A 20,275-nucleotide genomic window follows, 5' to 3' on the forward strand; every position below is an offset into this window, starting at 1 on the left:
AGCAACACTAAATGGACTAAGACAAATACTCAGCATTAAAAAAAGTGACATGTCAGTAAATCCAAACATATCATATCATGGGTAAAGCCTTACTACAAAATGCAATGATAATATAGAATAATCAAGGGCCAGCATGCATGGTTTACACAATAAGTGCTGTCAAAGAAAAAAAGCTGTGCATGGTGGTGCATGCCTGAAGTCCCAGCTACTCCAGAGGCAGAGGTAGGAGGATGACTTGAGCCCAAGAGTTCTAGGCTGCAGGGAGTTATGATGGTGCTACTGCACTTCAGCCTGGGTGACAGAGAGAGACCCTGTCTCTAAAAAACAAACAAACAAAAAATTTCCCAAAGAAAAAGAAAAAGAAGAGATACATGTTGGGAGGTTAAATGTCATTAACATTATTTTCTTCATGGCCTTTGCAGCAACATGGATGGAACTGAGGCCGTAATCCTAAGCGAATTAACACATGAAAAGAAAACAAAATACCACATGTTCTCACTTGTAAGTGGGAGATAAACACTGAGTATACATGGTGTGTTAGTCAGGGTTCTCTAGAGGGACAGAACTAATAAGAGATAGAGAGAGGGAGATAGATAGATAGATAGATGATAGATAGATAGATAGATAATAGATAGATAGAAAGAAAGAAAAGTATTAAGTAGAAAAGGGGTTTATTAAGTATTAACTTACACAAAAATGAGGTCCCACAATCTACTGTCTGCAAGCTGAGGAGCAAGGAGAGTCAGTCCGAGTCTCAAAACTGAAGAACTTGGAGTCCGATGTTGGAGGGCAGGAAGTATCCAGCACGGGAGAAAGATGTAGGCTGGGAGGCTAGGCAAGTCTCGCCTTTGAGGTTTTTCTGCCTCCTTTATATTCTTGGAGAGCTGATTAGATTCTGCCCACCAGATTAGGGATGGGCCTGCCTTCCCCAGCCCACTGACTCAAATGTTAATCTCCTTTGGCAACACCCTCACAGACACACCCAGGATCAATACTTTGTATCCTTTAATCCAATCAGGTTGACCATCACACATGGACACAAAGAAGGGAACAATAGACACTGGGGTCTATTTGAGGTAGAGACTGAGAGGATGGTGAGGATTGAAAACCACCTATTGGGTATTATGCCGATTTCCTGGATGACACAATTATTTGTACACCAAACCCCTGAGACATGCAATTTACCCCTGTACCAATACTGCACAGGTACCGCTTGATCCTAAAGTAAAAGTTGGAATGAAAAAAATAATAATAATAAATGTTTTTACAAGTGAAAAAAATCCATCATTCTTTGTAGAAAAATGCCAATTTTCATTTTTTAAAACTTCTATAAACTAAACTTAAAGCAGACATACATGCACATTAATTTATGCATTATGTCATAACAATATTGCTGATTTAGTTCTCTTTTTCATCTTTAACTTAACATGTGAACTGATTTTAAATATACAAAGATGAAATATTATTAACTATCAAGAATCTGATTTACAGAGGATTCACGACAGATTAACCTAAAACTCATTAATCTAAATAAAAGAGAACTATAATGTATTTTTCCCCAGGAAAGCAATAGTAGTTAATAGAAATACGTCCAAAGTATTTCATACATTCATGAGCCAAATGTGCATGGAGGGAAGCTGATAGAGAGATCTATAAGGAACCAGAGACTTGTCTTTTAAAAAACTGTAGATCTGAGAATAACAATCAGATAAAATATAATTTAAAGGTTCCAAGAAGCCCTGATTTTATACCTTAATGAGATGATTGTAAGCCAGATATTTTTTAAACTTCTCAAAGATTTTCAAATTGCTGCCTGTGGAATATGTTATTATATTAAAATCTAGGAACCATTCCAACTACTTTAACAACATTTTTAAGTAAATAAAAGATTTGGAAATTGTATTACCCATGTTATTTACAATTATATGTGAATAAAGGAAAAGAATCATGTTGATTTCTACATACCTTCTGTATATCTATTCAAATTTGAAAGAGAACAGCAAAATCCCACACCTAATGGGCCTCTCTCCTTATTTAGGAGAAATAATTACAAATTTCTCTTCCATCAATATAGAACTTCCATGAAATGTTCTAGCAGTTGGGCTGCCCCACAAGGTAACTTCCACAAATCGTTTGCATCAAATCTGACTTTAGCAGCTTCCTTAGGCAAATTCAGCTGGTATATTTTATCAGGTAAAATGTATAATGTGTGCCTATATGTATATTCCACGTCTATCCACATTTATCACCTCTATATCAATTTAGTTTTGCAGTGTGAGAATGTGATAACATTTCCACATTAATCTTCACTTAAATAGAGTTTCTTTGGGCTTTTGCTGTATAAACCAATGTTCTTACTGCCTTTGTGTTTGGCAGTTATAAATATTTCATAAAGCATAATATAGCTCGGCTGCTTTTTATTTTACAGGAGTAGCAGTTAGGACTGTTAGTTCAGCATATGTCATTAACATTTTCATATCTTGGAACTGGAGCCCATTTATTAAGTATAAAGGTCCACATAGCTTGGAGAAGAATAAAGACAACTGAGTTCACCATATCTGTAGCTTTAAATATTGAAGCATAGTGCCATCTGGCGGGAGAAAGAAATTTAGAGGAGAGATATGAAGCACAGTGTCCCCACAGATCACAGGACACTGGGGAAAAGACAAGCTCAGATACACAAAGCAGAGATAAGGTGTCCCTCCTTTATTATAATTTTCTTCAATTTTTATTTTAGAATCAGGGGGTGCATGTGCAGGTTTGTTGCAAAGGTATATTGACTGTTGCTGAGGTTTGGAGTACAAATGAATGTGTCACCCAGGCTGTGAGCATAGTACCCAGCGTTAGTTTATCAACTCTTGCCCAACCCCCCTTCCGCCCTCTTCTTATATTTCCAGGTGTCTCTTGTTTCCATCTTTATGTCTATATGTGCCCAATGTTTAGCCCTCAAATTTCAGTTGTGAATAAGGACACAGTGCTCAGGGGAGAGTTAAGGCCTTGCTGCAGGACTGTAGCAAGCCAGGCGCTCACTAAGGTATCTCAGATAGGAGAAATGGTCAGATCCTCTCAATCTACATGTCTTGTTTCATTCATTCACTTTTCATTCATTCTTTCATCTCTCTGTTCATTTAACATCTATCTGCTGAGCACCATTCTAAGTGCTGAGGATACAGCTATGAATAAAGCAGACAACATCCTTGGCATCATGAAGTGTACATTCTGGTGGAAGGACATAGACTATAAACCAATGTATCAAGTGACATGTTAAATGCTCTGGAGAAATAATTAAGCAGAGTATGACACTTGAGGGTTGTCTCCGGGAAGGGTAGAGAAGAGGTGCTATCTCCTGTAAAGTGGCCAGGGAAGACCGCTCTAATTTTGTGACATTCAAGCAGCTAACTGGGTCAAATGTAAGAGCAAACCATGAAGATACCTGAGAGAAGAGCATCTCAAGCAGGAAGAAGAAAAAAACGCCAAGGCTCTGAGAAAAGTGCCTGGATTTTCAAGGAACAGGTGACTATGGTAGGGTAGAGTGAGCGAGGGGAAGGCTCAGATTAGGAGAGGTTGGAGGAGGGGGCAGGACAGATTATGTCCGGCTGTTGGCACATTGTTTACCCATCCCAGAGACAATGCCTCCAAGCATGCATGTGTAGACCCCACAGAAGAGAGTGCTTACTACTTTCAACTGAAAGAGGGCAAGAGAAATTCACCTCATTTATACATTAAGTAAATATTCATGGGTGCCTATTATTTGCTATTCTTTGTGCAGAATGCTGAAAACATGTAGATAAATATGATGTTCTCAATTATGTCAGCCTAATGGGGGAGATAAGTAAAATAACAACTAGAATAAACTACCACAAATACCATAGAAATATTATGGGCTATATATTTATGGGGCCATAACATAATAACTTTAGGTAAAATTCATGACAGTCTTCTGAAAAAATATGAGATTAAGATGTATCTTAATGACTGAGGTGTGCCGGGCACAGTGGCTCATGCCTGTAATCCCAGCACTATGGGAGGCAGAGGCGGGAGGATTGCTGGAGGTCAGGAGTTTGAGACCAGCCTGGCCACAATGGTGAAACCCTGTCTCTACTAATACAAAAATTAGCAGGGCGTGGTGGTGTGCACCTGTAATCCTCTCTACTCGGGAGGCTGAGGCACAAGAATCACTTGAACCTGGGTGGCGGTGGTTGCAATGAGCTGAGATTGTACCACTGCACTCCAGCCTGGGTGACAGAGCAAGACTTTGTCTTAAAAAAAACAAAAAAACAGACTGAGGTGTATCTTAAAGACAGAAAGAAAAAAGAAAAATACCATTCTGACAAGAGGGAACATTATATTCAATGATGTTAACATTTCTGATATGTTTGATAGCGTGCCAGGTACTGTTCAATGTGCTTCAATAGATTAACTTATTTCATCTTCACAACAACCTTATAACCATTACTAGTTTCATTTTATATATGAAGAAACTGAGGCTCAGAGATATTAAGGAATTAACCCAAGTGTATTGAATTCTTGTCATGGAACTGGGATTTGCACACTGGCAGCTTGGATTCAGAGTTTCTGTTATAATCCACATGTAATTTTACCTTAGTAACAGACTCTGAGATACAACAGATGACATGTTTCTAAGAAAGGCAAGAAGTGTACTTAAATAAAGAAAAAACATGAAATAGTAGAGAGAGTGGGGATCGAAACAAGCAAAGATAGACAAATGACAAACTTGTAAAACTATTTTCTACAAATATCCAATGATCTTGGGAGTTCTTCTGTCCTACTTTAATATGGTACTCAAATTCCCATGGTGATTTGTATGGGGCCATGCCCATACTACACTTAGAAGGTACCTAGTTGCATCCTTTCAAGAGGCCAGTAGAGAGAGGGCTGGAGGTGCTGCTCTTAGTTCCCCGCCTATATGACAGGGAAGAGATCCAGAGCTGCCTGCATGCTACGGCAGGAGCCAAGAAAGAGATAACAGTGGCCTTCGATTGAGAGAAGGTGGAGTCCAGGCAAGAAAGGTATGGAAGTCAGGACCAACATAAGGGGCTAAGAATGGGACCAAAGATACCAGTGATGGATGCAGTTCCCAAGGACATGTGAGTCCTAGTAGAGCGGCAGCACATGCTGTCAGAACAGAGACCAACAGAAAAGCCCATGTGAGAGATACATCTCAGTAGTAAGAGAAATGATGACACAGACACTTCACAGCAGCTACCACAGTGCTTCCCAACGTTTTTTCCTTCCCCAGAAAGGAGAAGGGAAAGCCCTTTAGAAGAGAGTCCTGAGTTATTAACAACGTATGTGAAAAATGATTTTAAGTAGAAAAAGATGTATTTAATTTAAGTGACCAGATGGCCTTTTCTGCCATCTGTGCAAATTTAACTCATGAGAATGTTAAATTTCTGAGTTAAACACTTGAGTTGCTGTGTAAATTTTAGGTTGACTTCTCATCTATGGTATCTTCTCATGAGAAGCAATAGAAAGAAAACTGTTGTATAGTATCACCGAGAATGGGTAGTACTCAAATAAATATTTTATAATAAAATCATACATTGAGAGTAGTGTGTGTGTGTGTGTGTGTGTGTGTGTGTGTGTGTGTGTGTTTGGTAAAACTTCAGCAAGGTAATATGTTATTGTGCTTTCATATAAATTCTATTTAGAACCAATACATCATTTAATTTATTTTAGCTTCATTTGAACAAGTTGTCAAACTTGAATCTGATTTTTTAAACCACACTGCCATTTACTGGAAAAACACAAAATGATTAAGAACCTGTAGTCTAGAACCAAATTCTGTGTGTCCTCCATTTTGGAATCCTCCAAAAATCCTAGCACCTCCATTTTTCTATATATGTGACTTCGGTGAAGCTAATTTCTCTTTGTTTCAGTTTCCTCATTTGTAAAACAGAAATAATAATACCTACCGCATGCAGTTCTTAAATGGATTCGATATATTAATATTATTAAAGGGCTTGCAGTAGTGCCTGGTATATATTGAACTACATTAAGTTGTAGCTATTGTTAATATATCTTTAAGGATGTCTTACTCAAGAGATCTTTTTAAAACATAAACAGACTAGGGTCTTGAATAACAAGTATAATCACCAGTGATCAATATTACCCAGTTAAATTAGCTCTATGGAACAACAGTGATATATCAATGATATTAAATTTATAAGCCTCTAAACATGATTTACTATTCTTCTTTATTTTTATCTTGCTGCTTTTCCAATGCCTGGAATAGCTGAGATGTCATATTGCTTCCTTATTCTGATATTTACAGAAACAATCCCCAGTAGAGAATGTATTAATACATTACCCAATCTTTAAATGTATTTTATATCTCTGATATTTACACTGACGATTTGCTTTTCAAGTTTTCATCTTACAAGCTTTCTCAATGAGAATGCAATACAAGATTAAAAGAGAAATCGTTGAAAATACAATTTCTTTTTTTTTTAATAAAGAAAAAAGGTTTAATTGACTCACAGTTCCACATGGCTGGGGAGGCCTCAGGAAACTTACAATCATAATGGAAGGCACTTCTTCACAGGGCAGCAGGAGAGAGAATGAGAGTTGAGCAAAAAGGAAAGCCCTTTATAAAACCATCAGATCTCATGAGAACTCACCCACTATCACAAGAATAGTAGGGGGAAAACCACCCTCATGATTTAATTATCTCCACCTGGTCTGGCCCTTGACATGTGGGGATTATTACAATTGAAGGTGGGATTTGGGTGGGGACACAGAGCCAAACCAGATAAAATATTTTTAGTTATACAAAAGTTTTGAATGAGAATGAAAATGGCTTATTTGTGTTTCCTTGGCTTTAACCACATGCTGATTGTACTTCAGGAAGAGTCTCTAAAATTGTAAAAAAGAAACTTCAAAAACACGCTCAAATGGTTTCTACTCTGCCAAAATTGCTGGGCTTTAGATTATCCAAAATGAAACTTGCATTTCTGGCCATGGATGATTTGACTGAGGATTCATGCCTTCATTGCCTAAGGCAATTACAGATGGATTTGGTACTAGAGAAGACATCCACTTCCACCTAGTCTGTTTGAAACCCCATGCAATAGGAGGGCCTCTTGTGAACAAATCAAATCCTCTTTTTAAGGAAATAAAAATTATCGATGAAAATGGAGATACGTCTCCTTTGGTCTGGCCATTATGCGAAATAAAACTCAGTAAACTTATCACCTGTTCAAGGTAGCACTTATTTGCTCCCTTGTAGCTGTCAGATAGCTGCACAAAATTTAAAAAATATATTTTACTGAGGTTTTCTAGTTTTTCCCAGTGTGAAGAAATGGCCTGTAACAAGCTAGTCTTAACACTACCAGCAATGGACATTCTGTCATAGGTGTTTGTTTTTTAAGTAAAAAAAAAAAAAAAAAAAAAAAAAAGAAAGTAAAATGATACAAAATTGAAATCCAGCTTTGTCATCTGTTAAGTTCGAAAATTTTTGTGTATTTCTTAGTAAATCCTCCAGTTTATTTGTTTAATCAGGATAAAATTACAACATTTTACATATCATATTTTATTATGTCTTGATTCTTTAATATAACATATATTCACATTTTATACTTATTTACTGTATTCATCTTTTCTTTAAGGTCCTTTGAAATTTCATATTTTTTTATTTTTTATTTTTTATTTTTTTGAGATGAGGGCTTGCTATGTTGCCCAAGGCTGATCTCAAACTCCCGGGGTCAAACACTCCTCTTGCCTCAGCTCTTGAGTAGCTGAGACTAGAGGAGTGCACCACCATGCCTGGCTCCATACAAATATTATAGCTGTCAATTTTTTTGAAAATATCTTTGCAACTTTACTTGGAATCACTTGAATGTACACATTGATTAAAATAGAGGTGATTTTCTGAGAATACAATTTCTAAATAGAAAATGGGAGGATTATGAATAATTTTAGTATATTATCACATTCATAAAGAGTATCACTGACTAATATAATTATCTTAGAGCTGATTTATGACTAGGTCCATCCATTGATAGAACTCAGGATAAAAGAAACATATTTTGAATAGTTTTTGCTTGTTGAATTATGGGCTTATTTGTTCCTTGTGCTGTCCATGCATTTATATGGCACATCATGTAAAGAACATGGCATCTGGAGTCAGGCAGCCTAGAAGTGAGTTCCAGCTCTGACCACTGGTTATGATGTTGTAAGGGGAAAAAAAATCACTTCTTGTGGCTATATTTTCATCTAAAAGTTACAGTAAAATTTCACACTACTTAATAGTTAAGACTGTGGTTTTAGAGTTAGAAAAACTTGAGTTTTAATTCCAGCTGTGTTTCATCCCAGCTGTGTGACAGTGGCCAAATACTCAACCTGTCAATGCTTTAATTTCTCCATTTGTAAAGTGAGAATAATACATAATAACTATATAATAACAATTTTAAATGACAGGATAACAGTGAGACTTGAATGCAACACTGCATATGAAATTCTTAGCACATTATTATGCAGACTAAAAAATTTTAAAAAGTTAACTCTTTTTGGATTACCTTGTGGCCTAAGGGATAGCACTGCACGCTATGGCCACTCAAATGCTAATTTAGCATTGGTGTGATTACAACAGCATTCCAACAATATCACATATGTACACAAAACATATACTTTATATTCACCAACCATCAAGATCAAGAGGTAAAGCTAAAAAGTATATTTACAAGAAATACAGTGGCTCATTAATTCTTAACTTAGGGAATGTCCTAGTTCATTACTTAAAAATAAAAATAAAAGCACACAAGCAAGTTCACAAGGATTTTAAGTAGGGCAACCTCCACGTCAATTTCTCTTAAAGTAAGGTGGGTGGGGGCAGCTGCCCACACATCTACAGTATAGAAAGCCTATTTGCTTTAACAACAGAGGCTTTCCCCTAACACTCTCTACTCAGAGAAGCCCCTCTACCAGTCATCATAGAAGACCAGCCATTTAGAAATTAAGACCTTAGAAAATGATTTGTCAATCTTATCTTAATATTCATATAGTATTCATCTTCCATTTCTCAGTCTCAATTAACCTTCATTATTCATAGCCTTGCTTAACTACTTAATATTCTCAAGACCACATGTACTTTGGACATTTCCCCCCTCTACCTAGAACATTGTCCCCTCTTCACTACCCACCACCACATGCCCATCTGACTCATGACCTCCTATATATAATCAAACTTTTCCTTTAAATTTCACCTCTTCCTGCTTGCTTTCCTTGGTTCCCACAGGGGAAATTAAGAACTTAATCATCTGTCTTTAATGCTACCTATGTAGCTCAGCTATATTTCTTCTTGAATTTTGTTTTGTGTTTCGGCATGTCTTTGTTCCCTCACCAGACTATAAACTAGGGGATAAGGGGCTCCTGCCTATTCATTTTTGTATTTATGTTTGTTTACTTGTCTATTTTTTCTTTGAAGTATGTGAACTACTTACTTCATCAACATTATTAAAGTTGAATTTTCTCCTGCATGCATTTTAATACACAGCCACGTGTGGCATAATGACGTTTTGGTCAAAGAAGAACCATGGGCCGGGCACGGTGGCTCACGCCTGTAATCCCAACATTTTGGGAAGCTGAGGCAGGCAGATCACGAGGTCAGGAGATTGAGAACATCCTGGCCAAAATGGTGAAACCCCGTATCTACTAAAAATACAAAAATTGGCTGGGCATGGTGGTGCACACCTGTTGTCCCAGCTACTAGGGAGCCTGAGGCAGCAGAATCACTTGAACCCAGGATGCGGAGGTTGCAGTGAGTCGAGATTGCACCACTGCACTCCAGCCTGGTGACAGAGTGAGAGTCGGACTCAAAAATAAATAAATGAATAAATAAATAAATAAATGGGACCGCATGTATGATAGTGGTCCTGTAAGACAAAAAATCCTATCCCTTAGTGATGTAGTAGCTGTCCTAATGCAGTGGCATAATACATTACTCATGTGTTTTTGGTGTTGCTGGTGTAAACAAACCTATTGCACTGTCAATGGTATAAAAGTATAGCACATACAATTATGCACAATACATAATACTTGATAATGCTGATAAGTGACTACGTTAATGGTTTATGTATTTACTATATTATGCTTTTTAATCATTATTTTAGCATGTATTCCTTCTAATTATAAAAAAGCATCAAACTGCCTCAGGCAGTTCTTTCAGGAGGCATCCAGAAGAAGGCATTGTTATCACAGGAGATGAGAGCTCCACGGGTGTCATTGCCCCTGCAGACCTTCCAGTGGAACAAGATGTAGAGGCGGAAGACAGTGATATTGATGATCCTGACCCTGTGTAGGCCTAGGCTTATGTGTGCATTTGTGTTTTAGTGTTTAGTAAGAAAAGTTTAAAAAGTAAAAAATAATAAAAGCTTAAAAATAGAAGAAAGCTTATAGGACAAGAATATAAAGAAAGAATTTTTATACAACTATATGTGTTTGTGTTTTAAGCTAAGCATTATTACAGAAAAGTTTAAACATTTTTTAAAAATTCAAAAGCTTATAAGGTTAAAAATTTACAGTAAGCTAAGGCTAATGTATTTTTGGAGAAAGAAAAATATTTTTGTATTGAATAAATTTTGGGTAGCCTAAGTGAACAGTGTTTATAGAGTCTATAGTAGTGTACAGTAATGGCCTAGGTCTTCACACTCATTCACTACTTACTCGCTGACTCACCCAGAGCAACTCCCACTCTCCTGTAAGCTCCATTCGTGGTAAGTGCCCTACACAGGTGTGCCATTTTTAACCTTTTATATTTTAACTGTACCTTTTCTATGTTTAGATATAAAAATTATTATATTGTGTTACAATTGCCTACAGTGTTCAGTAAAGTAACAAGCTGCACAGGTTTGTAGCTTAGAAGCAATAGGCTATTCCATATAGCCTAGGTGTGTAGTAGGCTATACCACCTAGGTTTGTGTAAGTGCACCCCAAGATATTCTCACAATGACAAAATCCCCTAGTGATGCATTTCTGAGAATGTATTCTCATCATTAATAAACTGGAAAAATACAAATGATGTCACATACCTAATTACTGTTTCTCTGACATTTTAAAAATATATAATTGGATTTTTTGCTAAGTATAAAATAAGTATAGCAGAGTATAAAAGTATGTGTTTCACTGACACGTTAAGAATGGAATTTGAAGTAGGGTTTTTCTGGAACACTCTGTGCAGAGACCAGCTCTCAACAACCAGCACTTATTCCCAACTTCAAAGTAAGCCCTCTTCCCCTTAGGCTGGAAGGTAGCAACATGAAGCAACCTCAGCTTTCCAGCTATTATTCGTAGTCTTCAAACATGGTCATTTTAGGCAAGCCCTATATGGAGTACAAGCTCTTCAAAGGAACCAGAAGCATATCTAGGCTTAAAATATCACTCACCAGAAAGATAAAGATGCTTTGGCAAGGTTGTGTCATTTGATCGTTAGTTCTTTCATAAGTGCCATTAAGTACCTCTTTGGCCAAGCATCAGATTTAACAAACAATGTGTAATTCAAATCTCCAACGAGATTGGGCAGGAATGTGTGCTGACTAATCAAGGTATCGGCAAAATGAGAAAGCAAAGCACTTTGGCCCGGCACTGGGCTCCACCTGCCTATCACTAGCACAGTGATAGTGTGGGGCTGGTTCAGGCCAGGGCTATTGTATATACAGCATCCAAAAATAGGAAGGAATGAGCCTCAGTTTGCTATACCTGATGTGATCATTATGGTCTTTCTTCACAGAAATTTGGCTAAATTTAACACAAATTAGAATAACAATTAAAAATTAATATATAACTAGATGCCAGTGAAAAGCTAATAGCCTTCTGATGACCTTAAATAAAACATTCCTAGAGGGAAAGAAACCACTACTGAGCATCTCCAATATGTCAGACTCAACACTAGGCCCTTTAGGTAAAGGCATCTGCTTTAATTTTTGCAATAATCCTAGTCATTTGTATTGTTATACCTACTTCACAGATGAGGAAAGTGAGGCTCAGAGAAGTTATATAACTTTTTTTCAATATCTCATGGTGAGAGAGTATCAAAGCCAACATTTGCACTCAACAAAATCTAATTTCCATTCCATCACAGCAAACACACCTCTACTTTACTCAAGGCATCAATATTTCTTTGTCTTAAGCCCCCCCTTTTATATTTTTATTTCTGTCTTCTATATATACTTCTTTCTATGGCTTTTGCCCTTAGGTTTTCTAAAACCTTAAGAAAAATAATCATTCTTCATTACATGTTTCCCAAGATTTTGTCCATAACTTTTAAAAAATTCAACCAGGTTCAGATAAAATTCTAGATTCCTATTCTCTGATAAACGGTTTCTTATACAAGAAACTCAGTTTCCAAACTAACCAATCAACCATGTTTCAGATAAAATTCTGGATTCCTATTCTCTGATAAACAAACACTTTCTTATACAAGAAACTCAGTTTCCAAACTAACCAATCAACCATGTTTCAATGGACTCAGAAAAATAAAAGGCACTGAACTTTGTGATGGCTGCTTCATTGGAAAGAGCAATTAAAAGAAGCTCTCACGATTAGCAATGGATGCAAATGTGTCTTGGTTATATTTTGCTTACATTCATGCATAAAAAGTTAAAACTTCATCCTGTACCCAGACAAAACCAGTTAACCCTGGTTTTGTGTGGAAAGCAAATACTTCACTCAACTTTCAGAGGATGTTTTTTCCTAATTTTATTTTTCAGACAAATGAGCGATAGCAACTAGAGAACAAATTGGTGGCAAGGTTTTAAATTTCTGGAAATGTTTTCCAATTATATGTTAGTTATATGAGATCATTTATTTTCAGATATGTGCCAAGATTTGAAATTTCAGACTTTGGGATTTTAGATTAAAGATAAGCCACAAATATTTGTAATTGGACTAAGTGTTTCTATTAGCCAGTCAGTCTCACTACCACCTCCTCACACCCCTCTACACACAGCACTTCATTCAAGACTTCTATACCTGCTGTATTGTCTTTCTACCCAATCCCTGTTATCATCTGGCCAATGGCATCATCAGTGGCAACCCATATGGTCCCAGAAAGCCAGCCTCTTGATCTCCAAGAGTCATCACCTCCATCCCCCATTCCATTACAGGTATCACTGATCACAGCCCTAACTAAACCAGCTGACTTATCTTCCAGAATGGCTCTTCTTCATAATTCTCAAATCCAGACTAATGACAACCTGCTACAATCATGACTATCTCACTCAATTATTCACACTACACCAATTCTTCCACCACTTCGACACCTCTGATTTTGCTATCTCCAAACCTAAGAGTGTTTACCTATCTTTACTTTCTTTTATTTTTTTAATTTTACTTTAAGCTCTGGGATACATGTGCAGAATGTTCAGGTTTGTTAGTTAGGTATACATGTGCCATGGTGGTTTACTGCATCTATCAACCGGTCATCTAGGTTTTAAGCCATGCATGCATTAGGTATTTGTCCTAATGCTCTCCCTCCCCTTGTCCCCCACCCCCCAACAGGCCCTGGTGTGTGATGTTCCCCTCCCCGTGTTCATGTGTTCTCACTGTTCAACTGTCACTTATGAGTGAGAACACGTGGTGTTTGGTTTTCTGTTCCTGTGTTAGTTTGCTGAGAATGATGGTTTCCAGCTTCATTCATGTCCCTGCAAAGGACATGAACTCATTCTTTTTTATGGCTGCATAGTACTCCATGGTTCCATGGTGTATATGTGCCACATTTTCTTTATCCACTCTATCAGTGATGGGCATTTGGGTTGGTTCCAAGTCTTTGTTATTATAAATAGTGCTGCAATAAACTTTCATGTACATGTGTCTTTATAGTAGAATGATTGATAATCTATTGGGTATATACCCAGTAATGGGATTGCCAGGTCAAATGGTATTTCTGGTTCTACACCCTTGAGGAATCACCACACCATCTTCCACAATGGTTGAACTAATTTATCAACAGTGTAAAGGTGTTCCTATTTCTCCACAGCCTCGCTAGCATGTGTTGTTTCCTGATTTTTTAATGATTGCCATTCTAACTGGCGTGAGATTGTATCTCATTGTGGTTTTTATTTGCATTTCTCTAATGACCAGTGATGATGAGCTTTTTTTCGTATGTTTCTTGGCCACATAAATGTCTTCTTTTGAGAAGTGTCTGTTCATATCCTTCGCCCACTCTTTTATGGGGTTGTTTGTTTTTTTTTTTCTTGTAAATTTGTTTAAGCTCCCTTTAGGATGGGAGAAAATTTTTGCAGCCTACCTATCTGAAAAGGTCTAATATCCTATCTTTACTTTCTTCAATTCAACCTGGATTCCAGAGCAATTACTTTTTTCACTGGCTTGCCACTTTCTCCAACTATCTTGCCCTACTCCCATTCACAGATGCTTGCGAGACCCCCACTGCCAATCTCGAGGCTTCCAGGAACAGCCTGGAAAATAATCACACAATGTCCTCTCAGGAGAGTTTTTCTCCTTACCCATGGGGGTAGGGTACTTATCTGAACCAGGCCTTTAGTTACCACCCTTTCCTTTCCCAGGAAGTTCTCCTTTTCTCTAGAGATGTTCCCTCAACCTTGCTTAACTTTCTAGAACTTACTAGCTAACCATCTTCTCCTCTCCCACACTTTATTTATTTATTTGAGAAATATTTATTGAACACCTACTATTTGCCAGATCCTAATCTAAGCACATGGCCTCAAATCCTAATTGCAAAGAAAAGGAAACTCATTACAGAGACAATTCTTCACATTTTTTGCCATGTAAGATACTACAAACTACCCATCTTTTCTTTCTTTCTTCTAGAGAAAACGATTCCCACCCGCTCCCTACTGAAGATGCTTCTATCTTTCCACTGGTGCTTGGATTTGCAGTTTCTTCCAGCCTGCTCTCCTTTACCCTCAACCTCTTGCTTTCCACTGGTTCCATTTAACAAGCATGAAAACATTCTCAATTTCTCTCAGTATAAACAAAAAAACCTCTCTGGCTGTACTTTCCATTCCAGTGACTATCTCTTCTTTTTGATCCACTTTCTCACTTCCCATTTACTTCTTAGCCTTGTATGCTTCCTTTCCCACCACTCTATTATGTCATTATACACCAAGATTTCCAGGGCTCTCTTGTTGCTTTAGCCAATAGACTAAATAAATAAATAAATAGATGCTCTTTAGTTTACTTTGCCTTTCTGAAATGTGTGACGCTCTTGACCATTCTCTCTCCCTTGATGTCACAGACACCTTGTACTTTTGGTTTTCTTTTTATCCTCTTAGATATCTTCTTGGTGGTTTCCTTATCCTCTCTTCCCTTTGTCTTCGGGTTTAAGTCCACATCCACTAACCTGCCAAACCAGCCCTTCAATTTTACCTTTTCTTTTCCCCAGGGGCTCCTGATCTCTTCATTATAACACATAAAGTTTCACTTTTCCTTCTTCCCAGCATCTTCCCTTTCTACTATTGTCTGGCAAGGTCTATTCAGTCACAGACATTGCCTTCTCTAAGCTTCCTCCCCATCCAGTCACTAATCACACTGCACTGAAATTGCCTGTGTCCCCACTGGATGGTGAACTTCTTAAAAGCAAGGGTTATGAGGCATGTACCATTTCGTCTTCAACATAGGATCTGGCAAACAGATGTTCAATTATTTTAAATTTATTTAATTTATGAATTCTGGACATTTGTGTCTTTTCCCTGTACCTAACTCTGACTTTCCTTGATACTATATTCTCCCATAACATTTCTCAAAGATGTAGGCTACATATTTGATGCTCAGCCATTAAACAATTTCTCTCTTAAGTTTAGTGTTAGAGGTACACATTATTAACTTCAAAATATTTCAGTTGGCCATGATATTATGAGTCAATAACATGAAGCCAACCTACACTAGAGTTTATTATTGTTATAATAAATTCTAGTTGAGCTAAAATATTCTCTTAGGTTTAAAGAATTAAGTCACACATATAACAACATGCCACAAAGTCTACCATTAAAATAGTAAGGTACTACACATGAACAAACAGATAGACCAATGGAGAAAAACCAAAAATTCTCAAAATATATGTGGACACTGTATTGATTTCCTATTGCTGCTCTAACAAGTTACCACAAACCTAGTGGCTTATACCAACACAAATGTATTATCATACAGATCTGTAACAAGAAGTCCAACACACATCTCACTGGACCAAATGAAGGTCTAGCCATGGCTGCATCTCTTCTTGGAGGCTCTATGGAAGGACACATTTCCTTGTCCTTTCCAGCCTCTGGAGGCTGCTGTATTCCTTGGCTCATGGATCTCTTTCTCCATCTTTAAGCCAGCAACACAGCATCTCCTTGACCCTTATTCCATCATCACATCTTTCTCTGACTATAGCCAGAAATGGCTCTCCTCTTTTAAGAATTTCTGTGATATGACTGGGCACACCCAAGTAATTTAGGACAGTCTTTTATTAGATATATAATCACAAATCACTGGGAAAAAATGATTTATTAATAAATGATGTTGGATCAACTAAAGAGCCATTTGGAAAAAGCTAAATTATATTTATATCTCACACTATTCACAAGAATAAACTCCCTGCCTTAGAGCTGTAAGTGTAAAAACGTGAACTCATATACATATACCTAAAAATGAGAAAACATAAAAAATAAATACATTTGACTTTATGATAAAATGTGAAAATGTAAATGACAAATTATGACTATATTTTTCAGGGTTTTTTTTTTGCAGTTTTAACTAGGAAGAAAAAGGGACTAATATCCCTGAGATTAAATGAGAAAAATAACTATAGTCATGTGTCCCTTAATGACAGGGATATATTCTGAGAAATGCATCATTAGGTGATTTCGTCATTGTGTGAACATCATAGGGTGTACTTGCACAAACCTATGGTATGGTCTACTTCACGGCTAGGCTGTATGGTATAGCCTATTGCTCCTGGGCTACAAACCTGTAGGGCATGTTACTATGCTGAATACTGTAGGCAATTGTAACAGGATGGTAAGTATTTGTGTGTCTAAACAGATCTTAACATAGAAAAGGTAATGTGTTTCACTATAACTTTACATCACTAAGCACTAGGAATTTTTCAGTTCCATTATAATATTATGAAATCGCTGTCATTTATATAGTCCATCATTTACCAAAACATTGCTATGTGTCACACAACTAAATAAAAAATAGAAAAGAATATTACAATTTTTACTAAATGGGCAAAAAAAAATGAATAGACAGTTCATGGAAAAATAAAAGCAAAAATCCCTGTACATATGGGAAAAAAGTATCTATCTCATAATCAGGAAATTGCAAAATACCACTATATTATGATACTATCTCTCACCTATTAGATTATAAATATTGAGAAACTTGACAATAGACTCAGTGATGAAGCATTAGAATTACAAACACTCAAATATATGCAAAGGGAGGTACAAAATGATCCAAACCCTATGGAGGGGATTTTTGTAATAGTTTAAGAAAATTATATATATATATACCCATTAGCCAAGTAATATCATTTTTAGGAGTCTACCTTGAACTTTACAAACCTGAAACACTTATGTATAAGTTTATTTATCAAGGATCATTATGAGAGCAGTGTGGTTTGAATAAATTATCATATATACAGGAGCAAAGTTGTATGTAGCCATATGAAAGAAAAGGGATACACTCTAAGAGAGATAATGGAGCATTTTTAGGAACACATTATTAATTATATTTAGTAGGCTTCATTTCATGTGAGACTGAAAGGGAAAAAAATTTTATATTTATAAAATGTATACAAATACCTATATATGTACATATAACATTTGCTTCATTTTGTTAAAAGAAACACAGGTAGCATAAATACAAATTAATGAAAATGGTTAACTATAGGATGTAGATAGGAACCTGATGGAGAAACTAAGGAATGAAATAAAATCTTTTTAAAGTATACCTTTTGATATACTTTAAAAAGTATATTAAACATACTTTTTAATATAGTATAATTTGGACTATTTAACATTTATATGATTTATATATTAAAACATTTATATTAAATCAAAAAGAAAAACAAATTCTAAAACAATACAAATGAAAAGAAATGAACCTATCTGTATATAGCATTGTTAACATTAATGCACAGAGAAAAGAATTACAGGAAACTTTTGAACATACTACCCTGTAGATCTCTAGGGGAAAATATTCTGAGGACAATAATAATTGCAAAGAAGTCTTAAACTTGACTCTGTATATTTAGCAATAGTGGTGCTACTGGTATTGTGATTTTAAAAATATTATAGTTGTATTACAGCATAGAATAAAGCAAATAAGTAAATACCTTAATATTATTAGAAATCTTGATTTCCAGTGTAAGAGAAAGAAGATACAAAGAAGTTTAGAAATAAAACTATGTTGTTAAATTTTAATTGGAAATAGCAATATAAGCTCATATTTTTTGAAAAGTAAATCTCTTGGCTCTATCTACAGAAAGATCCTAGAAGCAGTGACACGTCAGTGGCAATGAGTATCCCTAACATCCAGATTTTTGTTTGTAATTGTTATTTGCATTAGTTCAAGTCCACTATGAAGCAGACATCAAAACTGGATCTACTCCACGTGCAAGAGGTTTGTTAGGAGAAGGAGCAGAAGAAGGTAGAGAGAGTCCTCAGATGAAGATGCAAACCCGACGTCTGTGGAAGGAGGAAGGAAGGGAAGAAAAGAGGGTAGGGAGGAAGTGTGTCAGGCTGCTGCACATTTCTGAGAAAAGTTCAGCTGGGCCAATTGAGAGCCCTGATGTAAAAGTCCTGCATCTTTCCAGAATGAGCCTGTCTTTATAGCCTTGCCATGCTCAGTTATGGCTGCATGCAACCATGGGAACTGTAGGCTCTGCACGGGTTTGATGGTGGATACAGAAAAGCAGCTTCTGGTGCTGTCAGTCAATTATGCTTTCCACAGAAGGAGATCTGAATGGTCCATTTCCATGGCTATTACACCACTCCTTGAAAGAAACCAAGGCTCCTTGGAGAAATAACTCATTGCAGGTCTGCACAGGGAAGGTATGAAGTAAGTCTTTTACTTAACTCTGGACTTCTTCCTTTCACCATATATAAAATTAACTCAAGATGGTTTAAATACTTACATGTAAGATCTGAAACAATAAAAAACCCTAGAAGAAAACCTAGGAAATACCATTCTGGACATCAGTCTTGGCAAATAATTTATGACTAAGTCCCCAAAAACAATTACAACAAAAACAAAAATTGTCAAGTGAGACTTAATTAAAGTAAAGAGCTTTTGCACAGCAAAAGAAACTATCAACAGGGTAAAAAGACAACCTACAGAATGGGAGAAAATATTCACAAACTATGCATCCAATAAAGATCTAATATCCAAAATCTATAAGTAACTTAATTCAACAAACAAAAATCAAATAACCCCATTAAAAAATAAGGACAGGACAGGAGCAGACACTTCTCAAAAGAAGGCATACATGCACCAACAAACATATTTTAAAATGCTCATTATTACTAATCATTCAAGAAATGCAAATCAAAACCACATGAGATAACCATCTCACACCAGTAAGAATGGCTATTATTAAAAGGTCAAGAAACAACAAATGCTGGCGAAGTTGCAGAGAAAAGGGAACATTTATGCACTGTGAGTTGGAATGTAAATTAGCTCAGCCACTGCAGCAATCAGTGTGGAGATTTCTCAAAACTTAAAACAACTACCTTTAGATCCAGCAATCCCATTACCAAGTATATACCCAAAGGAAAATTAATCATTCTACCAAGAGGACATGCACACATATGTTCATCACAGCACTATTCACAATAGCAAAGACATGGAATCAACCAAGATGCCCATCAATGATGGACTGAATCAAGAAAATGTGGTCATATGCACCATGGAATACTATGAACCCATAAAAAGAGAATGAAATCATGTCCTTTGCAGCCACATGAATGGGGCTAGAGGCCATTATCCTAAGCTAAGTAAGGTAGGAACAGACAACCTAATAACACATGTTGTCATTCATAAGTGGGAGTTAAACATGGAAAACACATGGACACAAAGATGGGAACAATAGCCACTGGGGACTGCTTGAGAGAGGGGGGTGGAGTGGGGGCATGGGTTGGAAAGATTCCTATGCAGTACTAGGCTCACTACCTGGGTAGTGAGATCATTACTATGCGTCAGCAACATGTAATTTGCTCATGTGACAAACTTGCACATGTACCCCTCAACCTAAAAGTAGAAAGAAAAAAATAGGTATACTTTTTTAGAAAACAGA

The 20,275-nt window shown here is 36.6% G+C and overlaps 1 long non-coding RNA gene across 1 annotated transcript in view; it reads right to left on the reverse strand.

Moving 5' to 3' along the window:
- LINC00437 (long intergenic non-protein coding RNA 437) overlaps positions 1–20,275 on the reverse strand; it is a 154,676-nt gene that overhangs the window by 47,742 nt on the left and 86,659 nt on the right. The gene's annotated exons all lie outside the window — the stretch shown is intronic.

This window comes from Homo sapiens, chromosome 13 (genome assembly GCF_000001405.40).
Source record: "Homo sapiens chromosome 13, GRCh38.p14 Primary Assembly".
In the NCBI taxonomy this organism is placed as follows: Eukaryota; Metazoa; Chordata; class Mammalia; order Primates; family Hominidae; genus Homo; species Homo sapiens.